This window comes from Homo sapiens, chromosome 11 (assembly GCF_000001405.40).
Source record: "Homo sapiens chromosome 11, GRCh38.p14 Primary Assembly".
NCBI classification, from domain to species: domain Eukaryota; kingdom Metazoa; phylum Chordata; class Mammalia; order Primates; family Hominidae; genus Homo; species Homo sapiens.
This window is the reverse complement of record NC_000011.10, coordinates 65,509,260-65,524,930: the sequence shown is the minus strand read 5'-3', so window position 1 is coordinate 65,524,930 and position 15,671 is coordinate 65,509,260. Positions and strand designations below refer to the sequence as shown.

Genomic DNA, 15,671 nt, shown 5'->3' with positions numbered 1-15,671 from the left:
GGGCGGGGATGGGGGGGCTAGGGAGGGGCGGGGATGGGGGGGCTAGGGAGGGGCGGGGATGGGGGGGCTAGGGAGGGGCGGGGCAGTCCGGGGCGGCGGGCGGTACTAAGATCAGTACTCCGCCGCCGGGTAAGTCACTTAAAACCCTCCAAGCCTGTGAGCCCTTTTATCTAAAGAGGCCTAAATCCTAAAGGATAATAGAGCCTGCCTTCTAGCGTACTGTAAGGATGAGAGCTTAAGAAGGGACAGAGGGATGGGGAAACCGAGGCAAAAAGGGGGAGAGGTAGAAAGACTGACAGGCATGAGAGGGTGCAGTGAGGAGTGAGGCAGAGACCCAGAGAGGGAGACTGGCCCCACGCCAGACACTCTCTCCCACCAGCAAGTGGGTGCCTCCAGGCTCCGGGGAGGAGTCGGTCCTGGTGAAGTGACCATGAGAGAAGCACGAGGAGACGCCCCAGAGAAAGAGCGTGGGTGAGAGGCAGAGAGTGAATCCAAGGTTCCAAGGAGGTCCAGAACCCCGGGGCAGGGGCGGGCACCCAGGGAATGGAGGAAGGAGAGACTGAGGAGGGAAGAAGAAGTGACCCCAGGAAAGGAGGGAGGGAGAAGGAGCAACTGGGCAGGTCTGGAAGAGGCCAAAGGGCTGGGAGGGGACCCTGCTCTCCTGGGCTCAGCTGCCCGGCTCTCAAGCCAACGGATTGCATCTCTCAGTGCCTGTGTAGACAGCCATGGAGTGGTGTTAGCTCAATCAGCACATCACACTGGTGGGGATCCAGCCCCTGAGCTGTGTAGGAGGGGCTGGACAGGCAGTGGTTCTTCTGCTGGTAGGGTCTCAGGACCCAGGCTTGGGGACAGTGCCTCAACCACAGCTATGGAGCACTGGTGAGATTCTGGGACTGGTTATGAAAAGTCTGGTTGGGATGCCTTTGGGAGATAACTCAAGGGCAGAGATGCCACAGTGAGACGGTGCTGGGTTTCAATCACGGTTCAGCCCCTCATTGGATGTGAGAACTCACACAGTTCCCTTTGGGTGCGTTAGGTCCCCCATCTATAAACTGGGGTGAGGGCCAGGCACAGTGGTTCACGCTTGTAATCTCAGCACTTTGGGAGGCCGAGGCTGGAGGATCACCTGAGGTCAGGAGTTCCAGGTCAGCCTGACCAACATGTTTGAAGGGGGCCTGCCCCTCCACACCTGTGGGTATTTCTCGTCAGGTGGAGACAAGAGACTGAGAAAAGAAATAAGACACAAAGTATAGAGAAAGAACAGTGGGCCCAGGGGACCGGCACACTCAGTATACGAGGACCTGCACCGGCGCTGGTCTCTCAGTTCCCTCAGTATTTACTGATTACTATTTTCACTATCTCTGCAAGGGGACTGCGGCAGAACAGGGTGATGGTGGGAAGAAGGTCAGCAGGAAAACATGTGAGTAAAGGAATCTGCATCATAAATAAGTTCAAGGGAAGGTACTGTGCCCGGATGTGCACGTAGGCTGGATTTATGTTTCTCTTTACCCAAACATCTCAGTGTAGCAAAGAGTAACAGAGCAGTATCACCGCTAGCATATCTCACCTCCAGCCATAGGGCAGTTTTCTCCTATCTCAGAATAGAATGACTGGTGGGCTTTACACCAAGACATTCCATTCCCAGGGACATACGGGAAACAGAGGCCTTCCTCTTATCTCAACCGCAAAGAGATCTTCCTCTTTTACTAATTCTCAGCACAGACCCTTTACGGGTGTCGGGCTGGGGGATGGTAAGGTCTTTCCCTTCCCACAAGGCCATATCAGGCTGTCTCAGTCGGGGAGACAATACCCAGGCTTTCTCGGGCAGAGGTCCCTGTGGCTTTGCACAGTGCATCATGTCCCTGGTTAATAGAGAATGGAGAATGGCGATGACTTTTACCAAGCATACTGCTTGCAAACATATAGTTAACAAGGCACATCCTGCACAGCCCTAAATCCCTTAAACCTTGATTCAATACAGCGCATGTTTCTGTGAGCACAGGGTTGGAACTAAAGTTACAGATTAACAGCATCTCAAAGCAGAAGAATTTTTCTTAGTACAGATCAAAACGGAGTTTCTTATGTCTTCTTTTTTTCTGCATAGACACAGTAACAGTCTGATCTCGCTTCCTTTCCCCCACATATGTGTGGGCGGAGGAATACCTAGGTGCGGAGGCAAGAGATTGAAGGCACAAACTGTTTCAGTATAAAAAAGAAAATAGTTAGAATAAGAATAGTCATAATACAAATTAGATATAGAGATGGTCATGAACAATTATCAATCATTGTTATAAGCATTATTAATCATTAGCTTTTAATATTACTCTTTGTTGCATTACTAATATAACCTAGGAATAACCGGCGGGTATAGGGTCAGGTGCTGAAGGGACATTGTGAGAAGTGACCTAGAAGGCAAGAGGTGAGCCTTCTGTCACGCCCGCATAAGGGCCTCTTGAGGGCTCTTTGGTCAAGCGGTAACGCCAGTGTCTGGGAAGGCACCCGTTACTTAGCAGACCGCGAAAGGGAGTCTCCTTTCCTTGGAGGAGTCAGGGGACACTCTGCTCCACCAGCTTCTTGTGGAAGGCTGGATATTATCCAGGCCTGCCCGCAGTCATCCAGAAGCCTAAACCCCTCCCTGTGGTGCTGTGCTTCAATGCTCACGCTCTTTGTCCACTTTCATGCTCCTCCCATACTCCTGGTTCGTCTTTGAAATTCGTAGTAGATAGAGGTAGAAGAAATAGTGAAAGTCTTAAAGTCTTTGATCTTTCTTATAAGAGCAGAGAAGAAAACGCTGACGTATGCTGCCTTCTCTCTCTGCTTCGGCTACCTAAAAGGGAAGGGCCCCCTATCCTGTAATCACCTGACCTGCTTCACCTTGTCAATCACTTAGAAGATTCACCCTCCTTACCCTGCCCCCTTGTCTTGTATACAATAAATATCAGCGAGCCCAGCCATTTGGGGCCACTACCGGTCTCCGCGTCTTGATGGTAGTGGTCCCTGGGGCCCAGCTGTTTTCTCTTTATCTCTTTGTCTTGTGTCTTTATTTATTACAATCTCTAGTCTCCACACAGGGGGAGAACACATGCTAAGCCCCGTAGGGCTGGACCCTACACATATGTTGAAACCCCGTCTCTACTAAAAACACAAAAATTAGCCAGGTGTGGTGGTGGGCACCTGTAATCCCAGCTACTGGGAAGGCTGAGGCAGGAGAATCGCTTGAATCTGGGAGGTGGAGGTTGCAGTGAGCCGAGATCGCACCACTGCACTCCAGCCTGGACGACAGAGCGAGACTCCATCTCAAAAAAAAAGTGGGAACTTGGATGGGCACGGTAGCTCACGCCTGTAATCCCAGCACTTTGGGAGGCCGAGGCGGATGGCTCACCTGAGGTCAGGAGTTCAAGACCAGCCTGGCCAACATGGTGAAACCCCGTCTCTACTAAAAATACAAAAATTAGCCAGGCGAGGCCAGGCGCAGTGGCTCACGCCTGTAATCCCAGCACTTTGGGAGGCCGAGGCGGGCGGATCACGAGGTCAGGAGATCGAGACCATCCTGGCTAACACAATGAAACCCCGTCTCTACTAAAAATACAAAAAAAATTAGCCGGGCGTGGTGGCAGGCGACTGTAGTCCCAGCTACTCCAGAGGCTGAGGCAGAAGAATGGCGTGAACCTGGGAGGCGGAGCTTGCAGTGAGCCAAGATCGCACCACTGCACTCCAGCCTGGGCAACAGAGCGAGACTCTGTCTCAAAAAAAAAAAAAAAAAAATTAGCCTGGCGTGGTGGCACATGCCTGTAATCCCAGCTACTCAGGAGGCTGAGGGAGAATTGCTTGAACCTGGGAGGCGGAGGTTGCAGTGAGCCAAGATTGCGCCATTGCACTCCAGCCTGGGGGACAAGAGTGAGACTTCGTCTCAAAAATAAATAAATAAATAAAATAATAAAATAAAATAGTGGGAACTTTAAGCTTAGCTAACAGGGATCCAAATTCTTCAAGAGAAAGTATTTGTTGTTCAGCCCACTGTAAGATATCAAGAGCTACTTGCTAATGGCCCACACTTATTTTGTTGATGACTTATCATAGGAAAACCTTTGGTGTTCTTTCTACTTTATCTTATATTATAACGCATGAAACAGAAAAGCTGCTGTAAACAATGCTGAATCTTATGTAACAGCCAAATTTAATTTTAGAAAGTATTTAAATTGTGCTCTGTCCTAGATCTAAATGTTGAGAATTTTAAAAAAAACAAACGTTTTAACATCTGCCAAAGCATGTAAGAATAACTTCAAGCTGCCGGGCTTGGTGGCTCACGCCTGTAATCCCACCACTTTGGAAGGCCGAGGTGGGTGGATCACGAGGTCAGGAGTTCGAGACCAGCCTGGCCAACGTACTGAAAGCCCGTCTCTACTAAAAATACAAAAATTAGCCGGGCGTGGTGGCATGCGCCTGTAATTCCAGCTACTCTGGAGGCTGAGGCAGGAGAATCGCTTGAACCCGGGAGGCGGAGGTTGCAGTGAGCCGAGATCACGCCACTGCACTCCAGCCTGGGACAGAGGGAGACTCCATCTCAAAAATAAAATAAAATAAAATAAACAATAATAACTCCAAAATTAACATTATTTTGACTTCCTATTATTGTCTTTCCAAAAAATGGCTCTGTGTTTTTTGTTTGTTTTGATTTTTACTTCTTTGTTTGGTTTGGTTTTTTTGTTTGTTTTGTTTTTAGCAAATATGATGCCTAAAAAGTAAACTGTTCAGGGTTCTGGCCTATTGTGGTCGGCAGAATACTAGCCCCTCAAAGATGTCCATGTCCTAACTCTCAGAACCTGTGAATATGGGCCAGGTGCAGTGGCTCACACCTGTAATCCCAGCACTTTGGGAGGCCAAGGCGGGCGGATCACATGAGGTCAAAAGTTTGAGATCAGCCTGGCCATCATGATGAAACCCCTTCTCTACTAAAAATACAAAATTAGCCAGGCATGGTGGCACACACCTATAGTCCCAGCTGCTTGGGAGGCTGAGGCAAGAGAATAGCTTGAACCCTGTAGGTGGAGGTTGCAATGAGCCGATATCATGCCACTGCACTCCAGCCTGGGCGACAGAGTGAGACTCTGTCTCAAAAAAAAATTAAAAACCTACTTACAAAGAAAAGTCTAGGCCCAGATGACTAGTAACTTCTTCACTACTAACTTCTACCAAACATTTAAAGAATTAATACCAATTCTTCACAAACACTTCCAAAAAATGGAAGAGGAAGAGGGAATACTTCCCAACTCATTCTATTAGGCTGGTATCAATAGTACCCTGATAACAAAACCAGATAAAGACATCACAAGAAACTACAGAGCAGGCCAGGCGCAGTGGCTAACACCTGTAATCCCATCACTTTGGGAGGCCAAGGCAGGTGGATCACAAGGTCTGGAGATCCAGACCATCCTGGCTAACACGGTGAAACCCTGTCTCTACTAAAAATACAAAAAAAAAAAAAAAAAAAAAAAAAAAATTAGCCAGGCTTGCCTGTAATCCCAGCTACTCAGGAGGCTGAGTCAGGAGAATTCTAGCCGGTGCAGTGGCTCACACCTATAGTCCCAGCACTTGGGAGGCTGAGGTGGTTAGCTTGCTTGAGGCCAGGAGTTTGAGGTCAGCCTAGACAACATAGCAAGACTCAGTCTCTACGAAAAAAATTAGCCCAGCATGGTGGCACATGCTTGTAGTCCCAGCTACTCAGGAGGCTAAGGCAGGAGGATTGCTTGAGCCCACCCAAGAGGTTGAGGTTGCAGTGAGCCGTGAGACATGAGCCATGATTGCGGCACTGCACTCTAGTCTAGGCAACAGAGCAGGAACCTGTGTTTAAAAAAAAAAAAAAAAAAAAAAAAGGCTGGGCGCGGTGGCTCATGCCTGTAATCTTAGCACTTTGGGAGGCCAAGGCAGGCAGATCACCTGAGGTTGGGAGTTCAAGACCAGCCTGACCAACATGGAGAAACCCCGTCTCTATTAAAAATACAAAATTAGCCGGGCATGGTGGCACATGCCTGTAATCCCAGCTACTCGGGAAGGCTGAGGCAGGAGAATTGCTTGAACCTGGGAGGCGGAGGTTGCGGTGAGCTGAGATCGCTCCATTGTACTCCAGCCTGGGCAACAAGAGCAAAACTCTGTCTTAAAAAAAAAAAAAGAAAAGGAAAATTCTATATCATGATTAAATAGGATTTATCCTAGGAATACAAGGTTGGTTTAACATCTGAAAATTAATTAATGTAATACATACTATTAATAGAATAAAAAGCAAAACAAAAAAATACCTGATCATCTCAATAGAAGCAGAAAAAGCAATTAACAAAATCCACCAGTCTTTCCTTTTTTTTTCAGACAGAGTCTCACCTTGTCACCCAGGCTGGAGTGCAGTAGCGCGATCTCAGCTCACTGCAACCTTCACCTCCCGGGTTCAAGCGATTCTCCTGCCTCAGCCTCCCGAGTAGCTGGGATTACAGGCATTCACCACCATACCCAGCTAATTTTTGTATTTTTAGTATAGACGGGGATTCGCCATGTTGGCCAGGCTGGTCTTGAACTCCTGACCTCAGGTAATCTGCTGGCCTTGGCCTCCCAAAGTGCTGGGATTACAGGTATGAGCCACCGGGCCCGGGCCAATCCACCAGTCTTTCACGGTAAAAAGAAAAAAGAAACCAGCCAGGCATGGTGGCACATTCCTGTAGTCTGAACTGGGGCGTGAAGGTCACCTGAACCTGGCCAGGCACAGTGGCTCACACCTGTAATCCCAGCACTTTGGGAAGCCAAAGTGGGCAGAACACATGAGGTCAGGAGTTCAAGAGCAACCAACATGGAGAAACCCCACCTCTACTTAATAAAAAAAAAAAAAATTAGCCAGGCATGGTGGCATGTGCCTGTAATCCCAGCTACTCGGGAAGCTGAGGCAGGACAATCACTTGAACCTGGGAGGCGAGGTTGCAGTGAGTCGAGATCGTGCCATTGCACTCCAGTATGGGCTACAGAGTGAGTCGTCAGGTAAAAAAAAAAAAAAAAAAAAAAAGAATGTTTTCAGATTGTTCGCTGCTATAGTGATTTTTGTATGTTGATCTTGCATCCTACAACCTTGCTGAACTCATTAATTTTAATAGCTTTCAAAGACTCCATAGGATTTTCTGTATACAAGATTATGTCATCTGTGAAGTTTTACTTAGGTGAGCCACCACGTCTGGCTCCATTTTTAATAACATAAAGAAAGAATAAATTACTAGGAATAAATCTAAGAAAAGAAGTTCAGGCCAGGTGCAGCGGCTTATGCCTATAACCCTGGCACTTTGGAGGGCCAAGGCAGGAGAATGGCTTGAGCCCAGGAGTTCAGGACCAGCCTGGGCAATACAGTGAGATCCTATCTCTAAAAAAAAAAAAAAAAAAAAAAAATTAAAAATCAGCTAGTTGTGGTGGTGCATGCCTAAAGTCCCATTTCCTTGGGAGGCCGAGGCAGGTGTATTGCTCGAGTCCAGTAGTTCAGGCTGCAGTGAGCTATGATTACGGTACTGCATTCCAGCCTGGGCAACAGAGCAAGCCATTCCAGATCCTGTCTCAAAACAAAACAAAACTGGCCGGGTGAGGTGGCTCACACCTGTAATCCCAGCACTTTGGGAGGCTGAGGCAGGCAGATCACATGAGGTCAGGAGTTTGAGACCAGCCTGGCCAACACGGCGAAACCTCGTCTCTACTAATAATACAAAAATGAGCTGTGCGTGGTGGCAAGGTGCCTGTAATCCCAGCTACTCAGGAGGCTGAGGCAGGAGAATCGCTTGAACCTGGGAGGCTGATGTTGTGGTGAGCCAAGATCGCGCCACTGCACTCCAGCCTGGGCAACAGAGCCAGACTCTGCCTCAAACAAAACAAAACAAAACAATAACTTTTTAAACATAAAGACATCTTCAAGTGGCAACCACTACCTAAATGCCATTCCCAGCTAAGCTGTCATGAAAACTGAGAGCAAAATAAAGATATTTCAAACAAAGACTCTCAGAATTTCCCACTCAGAAATCAGTTACACCCCCATCGTGGCCCAGACCCCCGCGCAGCCCAGCCTCCTCAAACTGCACGTGGCTAGAACTGAGTGTGATCATCCCCCACCTTGCAGCCAGAATCATCAGTCTCACCATCTGTTCCCCAGGGGCAAGCCCCTAACTCATCTGCTGTCCTAGGGCCTAACTACCCTCCAACCTACCCCAGCTTCTCTCTCTCTCTCTCTCCTCTCTCTCTCTCTCTGTCTCTCTCTCTTTCCTTTCTGTCTCTCTCCTCTCTCTGTCTCTCTCTCTCCTTTCTGTCTCCTCTCTCTCTCTCCTTTCTGTCTCTCTCTCCTCTCTCTCTGTCTCTCTCCTCTGTCTCTCTACTCTCACTCCTCTCTCTCTCCATCTCTCTCTCTCCTTTCTCTCTGCTCTCTCTCTGTCTCTCTCCTGTCTCTCTCCTTGGTCTCTCTCCTCTCTGTCTCTCTTTCTCCTCTCTCTCTCTTTTATCTCTCTCCTATGTCTCTCTCCTCTCTGTCTCTCTCTACTCTCTCTCCTCTCTGTCTTTCCTCTCTCTGTTTCTCTGTCTCCTTTCTCTCTCTCCTCTCTCTGCCTCTCTCTCTCTCTCTGTCGCTCCTCCTCCCCTCCCCTCCCCTCCCCTCCTCTCTCCTCTCCTCTCTCCCCTTCTCCAACTCCTCTCTCAGCCTCCCTTCCAGCCACTCTGGGTTGCAGTGCCCCACATTTCTCACTTTCAAGCTGTTCTCTCTGGAGGAAGGCTGCCCTGGTCTTTTCTATCCAGCAAATTCGTATTCTTTGAATCTCACTCCAAATGTCCCCTGCTCTGTCTAGCCTTCCCTGAATTATTCAGGCAGAAAGCATTGCTTCTAGCCTGGCAAGATGGCTCACACCTGTAATCCTGGCACTTTGGAAGGCTGAGGTGGGAGGATCGCTTGAGCTCAGGAGTTCAAGACCAGCCTCGGCCATAGAGTAGGACCCTCATCTCAACAAAATATCAAAAAATTAGCCAGGCATGGAGGTGTGCACCTGTAGTCCCAGCTACTTTGGAGGCCGAGGAAGAAGGATTGCTTGAGCCCAGGAGGTTGAGGCTGCAGTAAGCCATGATTCAACCACTGCACTCCAGCCTGAGCAACAGGGTGAGACCTTGTCTCAAAATAAAGAAATAAAAATAAATTAATTTAATTAATTTGTTAAAAAGCATTGCTTCTGTGCTTTTCCAGTGCACTTCACAAGAAATGCTCTCAGAGACCAGGCACGGTGGCTCATGCCTGTAATCCCAGCACTTTGGGAAGCTGAGGAAGGAGGATTGCTTGAGCCCAGGAGTTTGAGGCCAGCCTGGGCAACATAGCAAGACCTTGTCTCTATAAAAAAAAAAAAATGCTCTTGGCCATGTGCAGTGGCTCACACCTGTAATCCCAGCACTTTGGGAGGCCAGGGGAGGTGGATAACTTGAGGTCAGGAGTTCGTGACCAGCCTGACCAACAGGGTGAAACCCCGTCTCTACTAAAAATACAAAGATTTGTATATAAATTGAATCATGCAGTATGTATTAATGGCAAAAACTGCAATTACTTTTTTTTGAGACGGAGTCTCACTCTGTCACCCAGGCTTGAGTGCAGGGGTGCAATCATGGCTCACTGCAACCTCTGTCTCCCGGGTTCAAGCGATTCTCATGTCTCAGCCTCCCCGGTAGCTGGGATTGCAGGTGTTTACCACCACACTCGGCTAATTTTTGTATTTTTAGTAGAGACGGGGCTTCACCACGTTGGTCAGGCTGGTCTTGAACTCCTGACCTCAGGTGATCCACTTGCTTTGGCCTCCCAAAGTGCTGGGATTATAGGCGTGAGCTGCCACACCCAGCCTGCAATTACTTTTGCACTAAACTAATAGTTTTTAAAAACTGGTTTCTTTAATCTCAACATCTTTTGAAATTCTTATGTATTACGGGTGTATCAGTAGTTTGTTCAAGATTTAAAACCTTGAGACACTATGAGCAAAGCTCACCCCCCGCCCTCCTCCAGCATAAAAATTATAGATAACGGCTAGGCATGGTGGCTCACGCCTGTAATCCCAGCACTTTGGGAGGCTGAGGCGGGTAGATCACCAGGTCAAGAGATCGAGACCATCTTGGCCAGCATGGTGAAAACCCGTCTCTACTAAAAATACAAAAATTAGCTGGGCGTGGTGGCGCATGCCTGTAGTCCCAGCTACTCTGGAGGCTGAGGCAGGAGAATCGCTTGAACCAGGGAGTCAGAGGTTGCTGTGAGCCAAGATCGAGCCACTGCATTCTAGCCTGGCAACAGTGTGAGACTCCATCTCAAAAAAATAAAAAATAAAAAATATTAAATGATGGCAGATGTATCCAAGGAATATTTTGGGGATTTGATCCCTTTATGAATCTTGTGATAGATGAAAGTGTGAAGATGGCAACTAGTGGACAACAGAGCAACCCTGGAACAGTGGTAAGATGAGGGAGAAGTATCCTCATATTAGAAGCCTTGGAACAACTATAAACAATGGCGGCTCTGCAGAGAAATCCAAGTCCCTTCTCCAAAGGACTTGTTTTACTATGATGTAAAAATTGGGCCACGTACATTTTTTTTTTTTTTTTTTTTTGAGACAGAGTCTCCCTTTGTCGCTCAGGCTGGAGTGCAGTGGCACAATCTCGGCTCACTGCAAGCTCTGCCTCCCGGGTTTATGCCATTCTCTTGCCTCAGCCTCTCAAGTAGCTGGGACTACAGGCGCCCGCCACCACGCCCGGCTAATTTTTTGTATTATTTTTAGTAGAGACGGGGTTTCACCATGTTAGCCAGGATGGTCTTGATCTTCTGACCTCGTGATCAGCCCGCCTCGGCCTCCCAAAGTGCTGGGATTACAGGCATGAGCCACCGCGCCCGGCCTGGGCCATGTGCATTTTTATATTAAGCTTTTTATTAAGTAAACATTTGTAACAATAAAAATTTAAAAAAAGAGATTTAAAACTTCTACTCCTCAAAGACACTGTTACAAAAAAATGAAAAGAAAGACACATATTGGGATAAAACTTTTGCAAAACATATATCTAAACATAAAACAGGCCACGGGCAGCGGCTCATGCCTGTAATCCCAACACTTTGGGAGACCAAGGCAGGCAGATCTCTTGAGGTCAGGAGTTTGAGACCAGCCTGGCCGACATTGTGAAACCCTGTCTCTACTAAAAATACAAAAATTAGTGGGGTGTGGTGGTGCATGCCTGTAATCCCAGCCACTTGGGAGGCTGAGGCAGGAGAATTGCTTGAACCCGGGAGGCAGAGGTTGCAGTGAGCTGAGATTGCACCACTGCACTCCAGCCTGGGCGACAGAGCGAGACTCCGTCTCAAAAAATACAAAATAAATAATAAACATACAACAGAAGTAAAAAAAGAAAAAAAATCTGACAAGGGACTTCTATCTCGAATATGTAAAAGCCCTTACAACTCAACAAAAGATAAAAATGCCAACAACAATGGCAAGAAAAAAAAAACACAAAATGGCTGGGCACGGTGGCTCACACCTTTGGGAGGCCGTGGTGGGTGGATCATTTGAGGTCAGGAGTTCAAGACCAGCCTGACCAACCTGGTGAAACCCGGTCTCTACTAAAAAAACAAAAATTAGCCGGGCGTGGTGGGGCGCTCCTTCAATCCCAGGTACTTGGGAGGCTGAGGCAGGAGAATCGCTTGAACCTGGGAGGTGGAGGTTGCAGTGAACCGAGATCGCAACACTGCACTCTAGCCTGGGCGACAGACGGAGACTCCGTCTTAAAAAGAAAAGAAAAGAAAAGAAAAGAAAAGAGAAAAACACAACACAAATGAACAGACACTTCACCAAAGAAGATACGCAACTGTGGCCAGGCGAGGCGGCTCACACCTGTAATCTCAGCACTTTGGAAGGCTGAGGCGGGAGGATCACTCGAGCTCAGGAGTTCCAGACCATCCTGGGCAACATGGAGAGACCCCATCTCTACTAAAAATAAAAAAATTAAGGCCGGGTGCGGTGGATCACACCTGTAATCCCAGCACTTTGGTAGGCCAAGGCGGGCAGACCACCTGAGGTCAGGAGTTAGAGACCAGCCTGACCAAAATGGAGAAAACCCATCTCTACTAAAAATACAAAATTAGCCTAGCATGGTGGTGCATGCCTGTAATCCTAGCTAATCAGGAGGCTGAGGCAAGAGAATTGCTTGAACTGGGGAGGTGGAGGTTGCAGTGAGCCAAGATCGTGCCATTGCATTCCAGCCTGGGCAACAAGAGTGAAACTCCATCTAAAAAAAAAATTAGCTAGGCATGGTGGTATGCACCTGTATGGTTCCAGCTACTTGGGAGGCTCAGGTGGGAGGCTGGCTTGAGCTCAGGAGGCAGAGGCTGCAGTAAGCTGAGATCCTGCCACTGAACTGCGGCCTGAGCAACAGCGACAAAGTGAGACCATGTCCCAAAACAAAACAAAAAACACCAGTGCTGGGTGCAGTGGGTCACACCTGTAATCCCACTTTGGGAGGCTGAGGTGGGAGGATCCCTTGAGTCCAGGAGTTCAAGACCAGCCTGGATAACAAAGCAAGACACAATCTCTTTTTTGTTGTTGTTGTTTTTTGAGACAGAGTCTTGCTCTGTTGTCCAGGCTGGAGTGCAGTGGTGCGATCTCGGCCTAATGTAGCCTCCACCTCCTGGGTTCAAGCAATGCCTCAGCCTCCCAAATAGCTGGGATTACAGGAGCCAGCCACCACGCCTGGCTAATTTTTGTATATTTTTGGTCTTGCTGTGTTGGCCATGTTGGTCTCAAACTCTTGGCCTCAAGAGATCCACCCTCTGCAGCCTTCCAAAGTACTTGGATTACCGGCGTGAGCCACCATGCCCAGCCACTCTTAATTTTTATTTTTTTTTAAACAGAGTCTCACTCTGGTACCCAGGCTGGAGTGCAGTGACGTGATCTCTACCTCCTGGGTTCAAGTGATTCTCATGTCTCAGCCTCCCGAATAGCTGGGATTACAGATGTGTGCCACTACGCCCAGCTAATTTTTTTGTATTTTTAGTAGAAACAAGGTTTTACCACATTGGCCAGGCTGGTCTCAAACCCCTGACTTCAAGTGTTCTGTCCATTTTGGCCTCCCAAAGTGCTGGGGTTACAGGCGTGAGCCACTGAGACTGGCCTTAATTTTTTTTTTTTTTTTTTTTTGAGATGGAATCTCACTGTTGGCCAGGCTGGAGTGCAATGGCATGATCTCGGCTCACTGCAATCTCTGCCTCGCTGGTTCAAGCAATTCTCCTGCCTCAGCCTCCCGAGTACCTGGGATTACAGGCATGTGCCATCACACTCAGATAATTTTTTTTTAACTTTAAGTCCTGGGATACATGTGTCGAATGTGAGGTTTGTAACATTTTTGTATTTTTGGTAGAGACGAGGAGGTTTCTCCATATTGACTAGGCTGGTCTCGAACTCCTAACCTCAGGTGATCCACCCTCCTCGGCCTCCCAAAGTGCTGGGATTACAGGCATGAGCCACCGCGCCCAGCCCTCAGCCAATATTTTTAAAAATAATTTCATGGTATATCCACACAAGGGAGTATTACTCAGCAATAAAAATGCTTGTTGAGACGGGTGCAGTGGCTCACGCCTGTAATCCCAGCACTTTGGTAGGCTGAGGCAGGTGGATCACCTGAGGTCAGGAGTTCGAGATCAGCCTGGCCAACATGGTGAAACCCTGTCTCTACTAAAAATACAAAAATTAGCCGGGCGTGGTGGTGGGAGCCTGTAATCCCAGCTACTCAGGAGGCTGAGACAGGAGAATTGCTTGAACCCAGGAGGCGGAGGTTGCAGTGAGTGAAGATGGCACCGCTGCATTCCAGCCTGGGTGACAGAGTGAGACTCAGTCTCAAAAAAAAAAAAAAAGTTTGTTGAACAAGTGTATTACAATGTATTCCAAAGCTAACGCATGCAATGCCCAATTTGTTCACTAGATGGCAGCAAGAGCCAAGTCATTTCTAGTTGCTTCCAGGTGGGTCTACTGTGGCTACTCTTGCTTGTCACAGTAAACTGACAGAGCACTGTCCCCAATTAAAGATAGGAAAACAGAGGCGTAAAGAACACTGCTTTGTCAGAGCCAGGTTTCTGGTCTTCCAAATCAACAACCCATGAATGAGAACCCTCCCAGATCTCTTCCCCACACTGTTCCCTTCCCCTAAGTCTGGTAATTTCATCCATTTCCTGAAGTCAGAAGTACTCGGCCCGGGCCAGGTGCAGTGGCTCAAGTCTGTAATCCCAGCACTTTGGAAAGCCGAGGGAGGCGGATCACCTGAGTTCAGGAGTTCGAAACCAGCCTGGCCAACATGGCGGACACCCCCGTCTCTACTAAAAATACAAAAATTAGCTGGGCACCGTCGTGAGTGCCTGTAATCCCAGCTACTCAAGAGGCTGAGGCAGGAGAATAGCGTGAACCTGGGAGGTAGAGGTTGCAGTGAGCTGAGATCGCGCCATTGCACTCCAGCCTGGGCGACAGAACAAGACGCCGTCTCAAAAATAAATAAATAAATAAATAAATAAAATAAAATAAAAATGCAAAAATTAGGCCAGGAGTGGTGGCTCAAGCCTGTAATCCCAGCACTTTGGGAGGCTGAGGCGGGTGGATCACCTGAGGTCGGGAGTTCCAGACCAGCCTGACCAATATGGAGAGACCGCGTCTCTACTAAAAATACAAAACTAGACAGGTATGGTGGCGCATGCCTGTAATCCCAGCTGCTCAGGAGGCTGAGGCAGGAGAATTGCTTGAACCCGGGAGGCAGAGGTTGCAGTGAGCGGAGATCGCGCCATTGCACTCCAGCCTGGGGAACAAGAATGAAACTCCATCTCAAAAAAAAAAAAAACCCCAAACCAAACGAAAACAGCGGATCACGAGGTCAGGAGTTTGAGACCAGCCTGGACAATAGGGTGAAACCCTGTCTCTACTAAAAATACAAAAAAATTAGCCAGGTGTGGTGGCGCACAACTGTAGCCTCAGCTACTCCAGAGGCTGAGGCAGAAGAATTGCTTGAACCCAGGAGGTGGAGGTGGCAGGCAGTGAGCCGAGATTGCACCATTGCACTCCAGCCTGGGTGACAGAGCAAGACTGCTTCTCAAAAAAAAAAAAAAATTAGCCAGGTGTGGTGGCAGGTGTTCCTATAATCCCAGCTACCCCGGGGCTGAGATGGGAGGATCACTTGAGCCTGAGAGGCAGAGGTTGCAGTGAGCCGAGCCTAGATTGTGCCTCTGCATTCCAACCTGAGCTACAAAATGAGACCCTGTATCAAAAACAAAAACAAACCAAATCTCACACAGGTCCATACCAACCAGCCCCTGATCCTCGGTCTGAGGGGCTTGAGAGGGTAGGTTTTGGAGGGGTTGGGGAATGGTGGAGCTGCCCCTTGAACTCAGGATTATCAGGATGATGAAATCCAAAACTGTGGGCCGGGATCGGTGGCTCACACCTGTAATTTTAGCACTTTGGGAGGCCAAGGCAGGCAGATCGCTTGAGGTCGGGAGTTCCAGACTGGCCTGGCAAACATGGCGAAACTCTATCTCTACTAAAAATACAAAAATTAGCTGGGCGTTGTGGCGTGTGCCTGTAGTCTCAGCTACTCGGAAGGCAGAGGGAGGAGAATCGCTTGAA

General features: G+C 48.4%; 1 pseudogene; it reads left to right on the top strand.

Annotated features, from left to right (window-relative positions):
- Window positions 10,008-10,528, top strand: SNRPGP19 (small nuclear ribonucleoprotein polypeptide G pseudogene 19; annotated as a pseudogene).